This window comes from Homo sapiens, chromosome 3 (genome assembly GCF_000001405.40).
Source record: "Homo sapiens chromosome 3, GRCh38.p14 Primary Assembly".
NCBI lineage: Eukaryota > Metazoa > Chordata > Mammalia > Primates > Hominidae > Homo > Homo sapiens.
Genome location: NC_000003.12, coordinates 57,841,471 through 57,855,991, shown reverse-complemented (window position 1 = coordinate 57,855,991; position 14,521 = coordinate 57,841,471). Strand labels below are relative to the sequence as shown.

Sequence of the window (14,521 nt, the reverse complement as noted above, 5' to 3'; positions counted from 1 at the left end):
GGCTCACTGCAACCTCCGCCTCTTGGGTTCAAGCAATTCTCTCACCTCTGCCTCCTGAGTAGCTGGGATGACATGCAGCACCACCACGCCTGGCTCATTTTTGTATTTTCAGTAGAGACGGCGTTTTACCATGTTGGACAGGCTGGTCTCGAACTCCTGACCTCAAGTGATCCGCCCGCCTTGGCCTCCCAAAGTGCTGGGATCACAGGTGTGAGTCCCCGCACCCAACCTCCAGCTAATATTTTTATTTAAAGTTTTTTTTTTTGTTTTTTTTTTTTTTAACAGATGGGGCGTTCTTATGTTGCTCAGGATGGTCTTGAACTCCTGGTCTCAAAGATCCTCCCACCTTAGCCATCCAAAGTGCTGGGATTTCAGGCATGAGCCACCATGCCTGCCCCAAAAACTTTTTAAATATATATTTAAAGCAGCCTAAGTGTACAGTGTTTATAAAGTCTACAGTAATGTCCAGTAATGTCACAGGCCTTCACATTCACTTACCACTCACTTAATGACTCACCCAGAGCAGCTTCCAGTCCTGCAAGCTTTATGCATGGTAAGTGCCTTGTACAGGTATATCATTTTCTATCTTTTTCTTTTCTTTTCTTTTCTTTTTTGAGACAGAGCCTTGCTCTGTCATCCAGGCTGGAGTGCAGTGGTGTGATCTCGGCTTACTGCAACCTCTGCCTCCTGGGTTCAAGCAATTCTGGTACCTCAGCCTCCCGAGTAGCTGGGACTACAGGCATGTGCCACCATGCCCAGCTAATTTTTGTATTTTTAGTAGAGACAGGGTTTTGCCAAGTTGATCAGGCTGGTCTCGAACTCCTAGCCTCAAGTGTTCCTCCTGCCTCGGTCACCCAAAGTGCTGGGATTACACTGCCTCCAGCCTTTTTCTATCTTTTATACTGTTATTTTTACTGTACCTTTTCTGTGTTTAGATATGTTTCTAAACACGAATACTATTGTGTTACAACTGCCTTCAGTATGCAGTACAATAACATGCTGTATGGGTTTGTAGCCTAGGAGCAATAGGCTACACTATATAGCCTAGGTGTGTAATAGGCTACGCCATCTAGGTTATGTAAGTACAATGTATAATGTTCACACAAAGACAAAATCACCTAATGAGATCATATGCCTGTTAAGCGATACATGATAGTATATACATGTATACATGTGTATATATACAACCACATACACATATATGTGAATATATGTGAAATATATACATCTCAGAACAAACTCATTCCAACTGAAGCCAAGATAATCTGGTCATCAGCAAAAATACTTTATAATGGCTTAATTGCACAAGTATGATATCCAAAATAGAAATAGCTTTTAATTTTTCCTTTTAAAAATGTTGTTTATATAAACGTATACATTTTTGTTTTATTTCTGAGACAGAGTCTCATTCTGCAGCCCAGGTTGGAGTACAGTGGCATGATCTTGGCTCACTGCAACCTCCACCTCCCGCGTTCAAGCAATTCTCATGCCTCAGCCTTCTGAGCAGCTGGGACTACAGGTGCACACCACCATGCCCAGCTAATTTTTGTATTTTTTGTGGAGATGAGCTTTCTCCATGTTTGCCAGGCTGGTCTTGAACTCCTGGTCTCAAGTGATCTGCCTGCCTCGGCCTCCCAAAGTGTTGGGATTACAGGCCAAGAGCCCCCGTGCCCGGCCAATATATACATTTAAAAAGAGAGATTGCTTCACTCGCACAGCCTATTGCATTTTCAGGTGTTCTGATTCTCTCTGACTATATAACACTTAGCAGTAATTAATATACCAAAATAGGTAAGAGTCCACTGAATATTGGTTCAATGTAATTAAGGGACTTATAATGGGAGAATTAAATAACTATTTGGCAGCTCCAAAGATATATATATCCAAAGATACATATATATTTACACATAATATATATATATAATGTGTTATATATGTTATGTGTATATATATACACATTATATATTATATATAATATATATTATATGTAAATATATATATATATATATATATATATATATATATATATATATATAATTTTTTTTTTTTTGAGACAGAATTTCACCCTTATTGTCCAGGCTGGAGTGCAGTGGCATGATCTCGGCTCACCGCAGCCTCCGCCTCCTGGGTCCAAGTCATTCTCCTGCCTCAGCCTCCCGAGTAGCTGGGATTACAGGCATGCGCCACCACGCCCAGCTGGTTTTGTATTTTTAGTAGAGACGGGGGTTTCTCCATGTCGGTCAGGCTGGTCTCGAACTCCTGACCACAGGTGATCCGCCCGCCTTAGCCTCCCAAAGTGCTGGGATTACAGGCATAGCCACCGTGCCCAGCCCAAAGATATATTTTACAGAGAAAGACATTGGTGTACAAAGTCTAAACTTTAGGTGGCTTGTTAACAGTTAATAGCTGTTAAGCGAGACTCCTTTACTCAGAATCAAGGTGAAATGCTCATAGCACTTAGTTGTGGTTTTGGCATACCTTCTTCACCTTGTTCTATTCCTGTCATTATCCAGAGGAACACTTATGACCCTAACGCCTCTGAGACACCTCAACAGAGAAGTATACACTTCAAACATAGTACTTGAGGTTTAAAGCATTAATTTATTGCTCTCCACATCCTTGATAAATAATGACTACGGAAAATTTTGTCTACTTAGAGGTACTACATTTTAATATAAGCTATAGGTTATAATAAAGCTATCGGTTAAAGAATCTAATAAAAAGCCATACACCTCAGAATCCATATTAAAACACAGCTTCACTTAAGAGACTATTTGCCAAGTTTAAGTTCCTAAAACATTCCTAACATTCAGGAAATCACTCAGATGCTGCAAAAAGTTTTACTGAAAAACAAAACCATCAACCAACCATATCTTTAGAATCTACTTCCACTAGATGGTGTAATTTCACCTTTTTAATTCAATTCCATTTAGAGTTTAACTCCATGAACTATATCCTAACAGAAATCTAATATGTCCAGGAATGGTCTTTTAGTTAGTTCTAAGGTATAAAATGCATCTATTCCAGTTTTTACTTAAAATGTTCACAATTTACATTAGAACTTTAGCAGTTCAATAAGAACATATACAGAAAAGACTGGTATAATTTTATCTCAAAGAGCTAGAAAAGGAACAGCAGAGGATTAGGACACTAGGGATATTCACAGAACAAGAAGGTTGGAAAGAGTGAGAGAGTGAGGGAGTGAGATTTGCTATCCACGATGACTAGTAACAGTAGTATACATGCCTGGGCAAATAATTTAACCTATATGAGCCCCACATTTCTCATATGAAAAATGAGGTTTAAACTACATTAATCTCAAAGTTTTCTTCCACCTCTAATAATAAGCAGCTTAATTAATGTGCCTTCCTATTGAATGGTAAACTACTAACATTTATGGCATACATTCTATGTGCCAGGAACTGTTCTAAGTGCTTTACATATATTAATTTTTTTATTCTTCACAATTCTGTGTAAGTTAAGTGCTATTACTATATCCATTTCACAGATGAGGAAAATGAGGCACAAAAGGGTTAAACAACTTTTCCAGTAGGTCAGAAATTAAAGCCAAGGATTAAATGAGGGAATTTTGGCTTAGAATACTCTTAAATACTCTATTAAAATCCAAATGTGTAATGTTTTTCTATGCATACATTATGCCTGGTGGAAGATAAGATCTGATTAATACATTGATAATTTTCTGTTCATTTTCATAGATGTGTACATTCTTAACTAAGATGAAACTGTTCTCACTGATTGATTCCTATAAAAGAATGTAGGGGTCCGGGTGTGGTGGCTCAGGCCTGTAATCCCAGCACTTTGGGAGGCCAAGGTGGGCAGATAACGAGGTCAGGAGATTGGAGACCATCCTGGCTAACACGGTGAAACCTCCTCTCTACTAAAAATACAAAAAATTAGCCAGGCGTGGTGGCACATGCCTGTAGTCCCAGCTACTCAGGAGGCTGAGGCAGGAGAATCGCTTGAACCCGGGAAGTGGAGGTTGCAGTGAGCCAAGATCACGCCACCGCACTCCAGCCTGGGCAACAGAGCAAGACTCCACCTCAAAAAAGAATATAGGGACCCAGGATCACAGGTTTGGTTCTATTATTTGAAACAAAAGACAACTGAAGGCCTACCCACATAAAATGACTCACTCAAGGTCACAAAAGTGGGTTGAGTAGCAGAACTAAGATAAAAACCTCAATCTTGCCTGGTGCGGTGGCTCACACCTGTAATCCCAGCACTTTGGGAGGCCAAGGTGGATGGATCACTTGAGGTCAGGAGTTTAAGGCCAGCCTGGCCAACATGGTGAAACCTAAAAATGTACTCTACTCTATTAAAAATACAAAAAATTAGCCAGGTGTGGTGGCACATGCTTTTAATTCCAGCTACTCGGGAGACTGGGGCAGGAGAACTGCTTGAACCCGGGAGGTGGAGGTTGCAATGAGCCTAGATTGCGCCAGTGCACTCCAGCGTGGGTGACAGAGCGAAAGTCCATTTCAAAAAAAAAAAAACAAAAACAAAAAATACCTCAGTCTCTAATCTCCTGATCCAGGAGTTTTCTTTAACCATGCTCCCTCACCAGAATAAGAAACATAATCTAGCCCAAACCCACAAAAACCAGAAAAAAAAAAAAAAACAACCCAAAACACTTGTTTGCTTTTTAAAGATTTATACGGTTCTTTAAATATGGCATTAACTTGAAGCAGTATCTGCTCTACACCAAGAAATTATTCTGTGAATCCAGCAGCACAGCACAGTAGTTACACAAAGCAGAAAATCTGAGGTCTGGCTGTCCAGGTTCAAATCCCAGCTCTACCATATACTTGATATGTGATACTGTATAAATTATTAAATCTTCCTGCCTCTCAGTTACTCTATCTGTAAAAATAGGAATAAAATATGCACCTTGTAAGACTGTTGTGAGAATTAAATAATATAGGTAAAGTGCTAGAATGAAGCTTGGCATATAATAAGTGCTATATAATTACTTGCTATTAATATTATTAAGCAATCAAAATCTCTCCCAGTTATTTTTTATTTAAAAGTCATCTATGGGCCGGGCGCCATGGCTCATGCCTGTAATCCCAACACTTTGGGAGGCTGAAGTGGGTGTATTGCCTGAGCTCAGGAGTTTGAGACCACCCTGGGCAACATGGTAAAACCCTGTCTCTACTAAAATACAAAAAATTAGCCAGCTGTGGGTGGTGGATGCCTGTAGTCCCAGCCACTCAGGAGGCTGAGGCAGGAGAATCGCTTGGGCCCAGGAGGCAGAGGTTGTAGTGAGCTGAGATTGTACCACTGCACTCCAGCTTGGGCTACAGAGTGAGACTCCATCTCAAAAATAAAACAGAATAAAATAAAATAAAACAAAACAAAAGTCATCTATGGATAAAGAATTGTTTTGGGGCTCGGCATGGCGGCTCACACCTATAATCCCAGCACTTTGGGAGGTTGAGGCAGGAAAAAGACTTGAGCCCAGGAGTTCGAGGCTGTAGTGAGTTCTGATCATGCCACTGCACTTCAGCCTGAGAGACAGAGCGAGACCCTGTCTCCAAAAAAATTTGAAAACAGATTTTTAAAAACTGTTTTGGAACCTCCTCATACTTGAACAAAAAAATTCCTCTTGTACAAAGGCTTTTCTCTAGATTTAATGTTGACTCTTTTATCTTTCTTCATAAGATCTACTTTTAATCCTTTGTTCTTTTTTGAAAAGACAGTATTTCTTTTCTATTTGCATCCAGCCATTTTTTTATCCTATATTTGTGAATTTGCAAAATAAAATATAAGTTGTTTAATTCTGCCCTTCTTTTCTTCAGACAGGGTCTTGCTCTGTTGCCTAGGATGGAGTGCAGTGGTGCCATCAAAGTTCACTGCAGCCTCGACCCCCTGGGCTCAAGTAATCCTCTCACCTCCACCTCCCAAGTAGCTGGGACTACAGATGCACGCCATCACACCTGGTTAATTAAAAAAATTTTTTTAAATTAAAGGGGTCTCACTTTATTGCCCAGGTTGGTCTCAAACTCTTGGCCTCAAAGAATCCTTCTGCCTAGGCCTCCCAAAGTCCTGGGATTACAGGCATTAGCCACCATGCCTGGCCCTAATTCTGCTTTTAAGAACTTTTAAAAGTTTAAAAGAAATTCTGCTTTTAAGAAGTCTCAAGATGTACTTTTACCTGTAGATACTGAGAAAGCTGGAATAGTTCCTGAGAGTACATACTTGGAGTGTTAGCAGCAACCTAGAAACAAATGACACAGTATCAACAGAAAACACTTCATAAAGAACATTAAAGACAAACCAATTTCTTGAAATGTCTACTTACTTAAATATGCAAAATAACTGTTATTAAAATCACAAATTTATAGCACAAAGGCAATATAGCCTTTTAAATTTTTTTCTTTTCTGACGGAAATATAGCCGTTTCTTAATCCAGAAATAAAACCTCCTAATCAACAGATCCACATATTTTCCCTTTAAAATTCATCATTAAATACTTCTTTAATATTTTAACAAGCCTCATTCATTTAGAAGTAGCCATCTTCAAAATGGTATTTTTATGTGGTATAGGTAGGGCAGGGGCATGAAATACAACACTTTGTCCAGTGGCCTGAGGCAATGTTTCTTGAAATCCATAGGTAGGTTTTAAGAAAAAAGATGGGAAGTAATGGTGTTTAAACACTGTAAGTCATAGTCAAACTATTTAGAACTCAAGAGTATTATAAGGAATATCTTCTATAAGGGTTTTTTCAAGGCTGTAGAATATAGAACCATGGCATTATTAAAAAGAAAAACAAACAAAAAAGGGCCGGGCGCAGTGGCTCATGCCTGTAATCCCAGCACTTTGGAAGGCCGAGGGGGATGGATCACCTGAGGCCAGGAGTTCGAGAGACCAGCCTGGCCAACATGGTGAAACCCCGTGTCACGCTACTGCACTTCAGCCTGGACGACAGAGCGAAACTCCATCTCAAAAAAAAAAGAAGAAGGGCCAGGTACGGTGGCTCACGCCTGTAATCCCAGCACTTTGGGAGGCCGAGGCAGCCAGATCACCTGACGTTGGGAGTTCAAGACCAGCCTGACCGACATGGAGAAACCCCGTCTCTACTAAAAACGTAAAATTAGCAGGGCATGGTGGCACATGCCTGTAATCCCAGCTACTTGGGAGGCCAGGGCAGAAGAATCGCTGGAACCTCGAAGGCGGAGGTTGCAGTAAACTGAGATTGCACCATTGCACTCCAGCCTGGGCAACATGAGTGAAACTGTCTCAAAAAAAAAAAAAAAAAAAGGAGTAGGAGGAGGAAGAAAGAAGAAGGAAGGAAGAGGAAAAAGAAGAAGGAAGGAGGAGGAGGAAGAAAAGGAAGAGGAAGAAGAAGAAAAAGAAGAGGGGGAGGAGGAAGGAGGAAGAGGAGGGAGCAGGAAGAGGAAGAAAAAGGAGAAGGAGGGAGGAAAAAGGGAAGGAAGAAGGAGAAAGAAGGAAGAAGAAGAAAGAAGAAGGAAGTAGGAGGAGGGAGGACGAAGAAAAAAACGAGTAAGAAGAAAGAAGGAAGAAGGACGAAGAAGAAAAAAGAAGGAAGAAGAAAGAAGGAAGAAAGAAGAATAAGAAGGAAAAAGAAAGAAGGCAGAAGGAGGAAGAAAGAAGAAAGTAAAAGGAAGAAACAGGAGGAGGAGAAGGGGGAGAAGAAGGGAGAGAAGGAGGAGGAGAAAGAGGAGGAGAAGATGGAGTAAGAGGAGGAGGAGGAGGAGAAGAAGGAGAAAAAACCAAGAAGGAGGAAAAGGAGGAAAGAAGAAAGAAAAGAAGAGGAGGAGGAGGAGGAGGAGCAGGAGCAGGAGGAGAAGAAGAAGGAAGAAGGACTACTGGGTTGCTGTAATATTCACCCCTATGTGTCAGCTTATTAATGATGTTATAGCACCAGTCCTTATTAAGCTTGGAAAGTATACTTTAATTAATATGCTGACGAGACAGCAGAGAGTTGGCATTATTTTTTAAATTTAGTTCTAAATTAGCAGGACCATTATTTACTTCTGAATAATCTTTGGTATTGCAGAAGTTGATGATTAACCACTTTTACTTTTAAAAAAGGAGTCTAACAGAGAACTTCAGTTTTAAGCAGGCTTTCATTCTTCATTCAAATGGAAGAAAAACATAAAATATTTTTTCCACTAGTTTAGTTACTGCACTAAGAAAACTAGACTCTCACATTAATGTCAAAAGATGTATTTTGGGGGGCTAATTAGCAATGAAACCTATAATTGAATAAACCATTATTTCTGAACAAAAGAAAAATGCTTTCTAGCAAGCAATTATTGCAAAGTTTCTGATCAGATCAGGTAAAAAGTAACCTTCAAAGAAAATAAAAGAACAATTTTTGTAAGCCTGTATTTCTGTATTACCTCCCTGTATTGGGAAATGTTGAGTGAACTATTTAGGTAGAAACTTAAACAAATTTCTAGACAGACTTGTATCTCAGAATAAAAAGTAACAGCGAATACTCCTTATCCCTGGCTAGACACAAAACAGGTACTCCTAGTTTACACAGTGAATAATTTAACTGAGATAACAAAGCCTTTTTCTGAAGAAACATCCATCTTAGATTCTCCAGATATTGAAGATCAGAAGATTATAATAACTATATAGCTATATGCATTCTACATATTTTGTTATAAAAGAGAAATAAATTTCTAGGTAAAGCATATTAAAAACAAACATTTTCAAAGCAACATAGCTGAGTCAGTTTGGAAAAAATAATCATTAGCAACTTACTTTGTCAACAGGACTTGGTAATGGTGCATGGATGACACTGAAAAGTAAAATTTAGAAGTTTTATCTAATATCCGGACAATAGAGGAAACAGAGTATGAGAGCACCAGAATATCTTACACCACAAAGTTTATACATTTGCCTTCATGTAATTAAAAAAAGGTGAACTATTTTTCAATCCTTCATAAATGTATAAAATTCTTAGAAAACAAAAATATGTAAACCTACCTTGTACACATCAATATAGTTCTAAAAACAAATTCCAAATCCAAAATGTATTAAATGCTCTTTGAGGAGCCACTACTTTTTGAGGGATATGATGAATTACTTGATTATACGAATTTCTATACAGAAAAGGAGTACTCTTTATCCATTTTCGGCTAGGCATGGTGGCTCATGCCTGTAATTCCAGCACTTTGGGAGGCTGAGGCGGGAGGATCACCTGAGGTCTGGAGTTCAAGACCAGCCTGGTCAACATGATGAAACCCTGTCTCTACTAAAAATATAAAAAAATTAGCTGGGCGTGGTGGCGCACACCATTAGTCCCAGCTCCTCAGGAGGCTGAAGCATAAGAATCGCTTGAACTCAGGAGGTGGAGGTTGCAGTGAGCCAAGATTGCGCCACTGCACTCCAGCCTGGGTGACAAAGTGAGACTCTGTCTCAAAAAAAAAAAAAAAAAAAATTATCCATTTTCAATTTTGAAATATGTAAATTATGTTCTTTTAAAATTAAACATTCCTATACAGAAAGTCTTAAAAAGCAAAGTTCTGGAAAGCAAGGTTATAATTTGGAAACTTGTTCCAGTGAAGAACAACTTTAATCAAAACACTACTATTCCTCTTCTCTACCCAGCCACCTCAGAAACTAACTGAAAACTTAGATGTATGTATGAAACTGAACTCAGAACAAAACATTAAATAGATGGCATTAATTGGTACCAGTTGCCTTGTTGGCCTGATAACTACTGCTGACAAAAAGGTAGTATAGCATCTCAGAAATTATACTGGGTCCAAAATCTAGCTCTACCCACCAGCTGAAAGGCAAATTGCCTAATCAATATAGGTCTCAGCTTCCTCATGCATAAAATGAGATAATCGAGTCAGGCACAGTGGCTCACACCTGTAATCCCAGGACTTTGGGAGGCCAAGGTGGGCGGATCACGAGGTCAGGAGTTCGAGACCAGCCTGGCCAACACAGTGAAACGTCATCTCTACTAATAATACAAAAATCAGCCAGGTGCGGTGGCATGTGCCTGTAGTCCCAGCTACTTGGGAGGCTGAGGTGGGAGAATCACTTGAACCTGGGAGGCAGAGGTTGCAGTGAGCCGAGATGATGCCACTGCACTCCAGTCTGGGCAATAGAGCAAGACTCCATCTCCAAAAAAAAAAAGGTGGGGGGGAGATAATCATACAACCAATTCCATGGAGTTATTGGGGATATTAAATGTATTCATATGAATAAAAGCTTAAAACAGTGCTTTGGAAATGGACTTGATCACTACTATTACTCTCATGAGAATACAGCAGCTAAGGAAGCTGGAGTCCCTATTTTACAAATCCCTGTAAGATACTGTTTATGTTGGGGGTGAGTACAGGGGACTCAAAACAAGGCTACCACGCATGACCTCTACCAGCTGCTAATCACTCCACATCCTAGAGGCCATTCTTATAATGGTTAGCTTGAAGGTTGACTGAGTAAAGTTCTTAGCTTGAACTGATAAATCATATGTAAGCTGCTGAAAAACTGATTAGATGTGAGTTAAAAATAGGAATAATTTTGATCCCACCTTAATAACTGCAAACACTGTAAGAACTGGTCTAATTCAACTAGTCACAAATACACTAAAATGCTGAATAAAATGGAATATTAACTACCAGCACCCACCTCCCTTCTGAGCACCCATGATACAGACTTCATTGAGCCTACATAAACTTTACTGTCCTTCTTTGATTATACATCTGTGTTCTCAGGAACTATGACCTATTCACCTGTATATGCCCAAAGCCCATCAGCAGGCCCTAACAAAGTTGGTGCCTAGTAAAGATTTTTTTAAAATTATGTATAACTTTACTCCAGAACATTGAAATAGGCATTTTAAACAATAATTTATTTTTCTTGAATATAACAAATATTGATTATGGAAAATGTGTGAAGTAAATCATGAGGAAATACATAAAAATTACTCAATACCAGCACTCAGAGATAACCATTGTGGGTATATATCCTTTTCTCTGCAGATATGCACATATAGTGAAATGAACTTAAGAATGTCTAAATGCCAGATGATTTGAGGTTAGGAGTTTGGGAACAGCCTGGCCAACATGGTGAAACCTGTTTCTACTAAAAATACAAAAACCAGCCGGGTGTAGTGGAGGGCACCTGTAATCCCAGCTACCTGGGAGGCTGAGGCAGGAGAATCACTTGAACCTGGGAGGCGGAGGTTGCAGTGAGCCGAGATCACACCACCGCACTACAGCCTGGGCAACTGAGCAAGACTCCATCTCCAAAAAAAAAAAAAAAAAAAAGTCTAAATAGAAACAAATGGTATAATAGGGATTTTTTTTTTAATTCACCTTTCTTAGTGACCCAAGTATAAAATCTTCTCATAACAATCCCATTAATAAACAAATGGCTAAAAATCCGGCAACACATTCCATAAGTGATATACATCTGTATTTTACAAAAACTACCCTGGATATAAGTATATTCTGAAGTATGAATTAAGTTCATATGCATATACAAACCATAAGAAGGAAATGTGGAAAATGAAAATAGTTACTTAGTGTTAGAGTGGTGGGATTATATGCAATTTTTTTTTTTAATTTTTAAAATTTTTTTTTGTGGAGACAGAGTCTCACTCTGTCACCCAGCCTGAAGTGAAGTGGTCTGATTTTGGCTCACTGCAACTTCCGCCTCCGGGGTTCAAGCTGTTCTCGTGTCTCAGTCTCCTGAGTAGCTGGGACTACAGGCGCTCACCACCACGCCCGGCTAATTTTTTGTATTTTTAGTAGAGACGGGGTTTTGCCCTGTTGCCCAGGCTAGTCTCAAACTCCTGAGCTCAGGCAATCTGTCCGCCTCAGAGTGCCAAAGTGCTGGGATTACAGGCACGAGCCACCTGCGCCAGGCCTCTCTGTTTCTAATCATTAGAAAATGGTTGGCCCAGGTGCAGTGGCTCATGCCTGTAATCCCAGCACTTTGGGAGGCTGAGGGGAGCAGATCACCTGAGGTCAGGAGTTTGAGGTAGCCCGGCCAATATAGTGAAACCCCATCTCTACTGAAAACACAAAAATTAGCTGGGCATGGTGGTATGCACCTGTAATCCCAGCTACTTGGGAGGTTGAGGTAGGAGAATCACTTAAACCTGGGAGGTGGAGGCTGCAGTGAACCGAAATCATCCCACCGCACTCCAGCCTGGTTGACAAAAGTGAGATTCTGTCTCAAAAAAAAAAAAAAAAAAAAAAGAAAGAAAAGAAAGAAAGAGAGAGAAAGGGAGAGAAAGAAAGAAAGAAAGAAAAAGAAAGAAAGAAAGAAAAGGAAGGAAGGAAGGCAATTATTGGCTGGGCCTCTTTGTTTCTTATCATTAGAAAATTATTGACCAGGCCTCTCTGTTTCTTATCATTTAAAAATTATTGGCCAGGCGTGGTGGCTCAGGCCTATAATCCCAGCACTTTGGGAGACCAAGGTGGGTGGACTGCCTGTGCTCGGGAGTTCAAGAGCAGCCTGGGCAACATGGTAAAACCCATCTCTACTAAAAGTACAAAAAATTAGCTGGGCGTGGTGGTGTGCACCTGTAGTCCCAGCTGCTCAGGAGGCTGAGGCACAAGAATTGCTTGAACCCGGGAGGTGGAGTTGCAGCAAGCCGAGATTACTACACTCCAGCCTAGGCAACAGAACCAGGCTGTCAAAGAAAAAAAAAAAAAAAAAAAAAAAAGGAAAAGAAAGAAAGAAAAAAGAAAACAAAACAAAAGGAAAATTATTTGTGCAGTGTAATAAAAATTAAGGAAGGAAAAAAGTCAGCTTGTTGAGTACTTACTATCTTCTGAAGTTCTTAAAAGCAATAAATGCTATGTACACAATGGAACTTAAACTCTAGGCTTTCTGGCATACCCAAAAGCATCTTAATGCTTTTAAAAATTAGTTTACAGTAATAGAAACAGCTAAAGTTTATTGTGTGCTTATTATATGCCAAGTACTATGCCAAGTTCTTTAAGTACTAAATCTTGTTTAATTCTCATAAAATTCCTGTTAAATAGGTACTATCATCATCTTCATATTTCAAATGAGAAAAATGTTGCCTGATCAAGTCACAGAACAAGTGGAGTCAGACTTTAAACTGGACTACCCAACTCTAAAGGCCATTCTGATCTTCCTCCAGCTCTGGAGAATTGCTTGTTCAAAATTCATCTTCTCCAGAAAGTTAGATTATGTATAACTATATTGGCAGCAAAAATTTAAGTGATACTAATATTTAACCATATAAGAAAAGACAAACAATGAGAAGAAAATGGGCAAAGATGAAAAGAATTAGAGAAACACAAAGGATAGAGACACAATACATTCCAACTGACTTTGAAAAAATTTACAAGTTCTACTAGATGGAACCTGAGAACACAGATGATTCCTTACGTAACTGTTCAAAGTTTTCAAACTGCATGAAAGAAAAATCTCATTATCAAATACAAACATCAAGGTCTTTAAGAAGCAATATATCATTAGTTGATTAATAGTTACTCATTTCTAAAACCTTAATTCTTAACTCTTAAAAGCTAAGTTATATTAAACTTCCTAAAGTTTATTTTAATTTTAATAATTAAGCTGTAATCGCAAATAGAAAACACATTAATGTTTTAAATTTACGATATTACTTCATATGCCAAGGACAAAAAAAAAGGAAAAAAAGAATTAAAATGTTTTAAAACCTATGCTATTTTGCTTCAGATATCTTGAAAAGTAAACAAACAAGGAAAAGTATGTGGCTTCTAACAAGCATAAAATAAATGATTCTACTGAAAGCACGGACAGTAATGGGAGGGCCTCGCTCTGCTTAATCTTTCCTTCTCACTTTCCTATTCAATGCTCTACTTTTCCTTCAATTTATTGCTTCTCTTAACCTCCTACCCTCAGGTCACTGTCTCTGTTTTTGAAAGACAGGAAAATATTATGTTGGGTATAAAAACAAGCTTCTAGCATATTCAAGGCTTTTCCCACAAATAAAAAATGTTAAGTTTAAAGATTGCTCAACTCCCTTCAACACTTCATAATAATAATCTCTGAAAACCCCAAGATCAAAATGTACTTACATATGCTTTTAAAAATCTAGATTTTATGGGTAATTTTCCCTTTCAAATGTCGGCCTCTAAATGACCTTTACACTCCTTCATACAAAAAGTAAATAGGACATTGGAAAAATCTTCAAAAACCTCCCACCAAAATAAGCTAACAACTATATTGGTATCCTCAAGGTCTTATAAGATTGTGACACTGGCATTAATACCAGAAGTGATCACAGTTTAAGAAGTCCTATATTAAATGAAAATAAAAAGGAATGAAGCTATCACTTACCAGTAACTTATATACTTGAAACATTGTGAAAAACAACTAATTATCCATCAAAATATAAATTAAATTTGGAAACAAAATAATCTTTGCCTTTGATACATTATTATTTACTAGAATTGTAACTAAAGCAAAGAAGCAATTTAAACTGAAGTGTATTATATTCCAAAAAGTACTAATCAATTTTCTAATATTATTTAAATAGTCCTG

At 38.6% G+C, this 14,521-nt stretch overlaps 1 protein-coding gene across 48 annotated transcripts in view; it reads right to left on the bottom strand.

The window, feature by feature from the left end:
* The window catches only part of SLMAP (sarcolemma associated protein), a 173,705-nt gene that overhangs the window by 74,022 nt on the left and 85,162 nt on the right, over positions 1-14,521 (bottom strand). For all 48 annotated transcript variants that reach the window (NR_165328.1, XM_005265456.5, XM_005265468.5 and 45 more), the window contains 2 exons: positions 8,759-8,795; positions 6,176-6,238 (listed from right to left, as the gene is read on the bottom strand). Coding sequence is in view for 47 of the 48 variants with exons in the window: in XM_005265456.5 (XP_005265513.1) it covers positions 6,176-6,238; positions 8,759-8,795 (100 nt within the window). In the remaining variant the exon portion in view is untranslated. The remainder of the gene's footprint in view (positions 1-6,175; positions 6,239-8,758; positions 8,796-14,521) is intronic.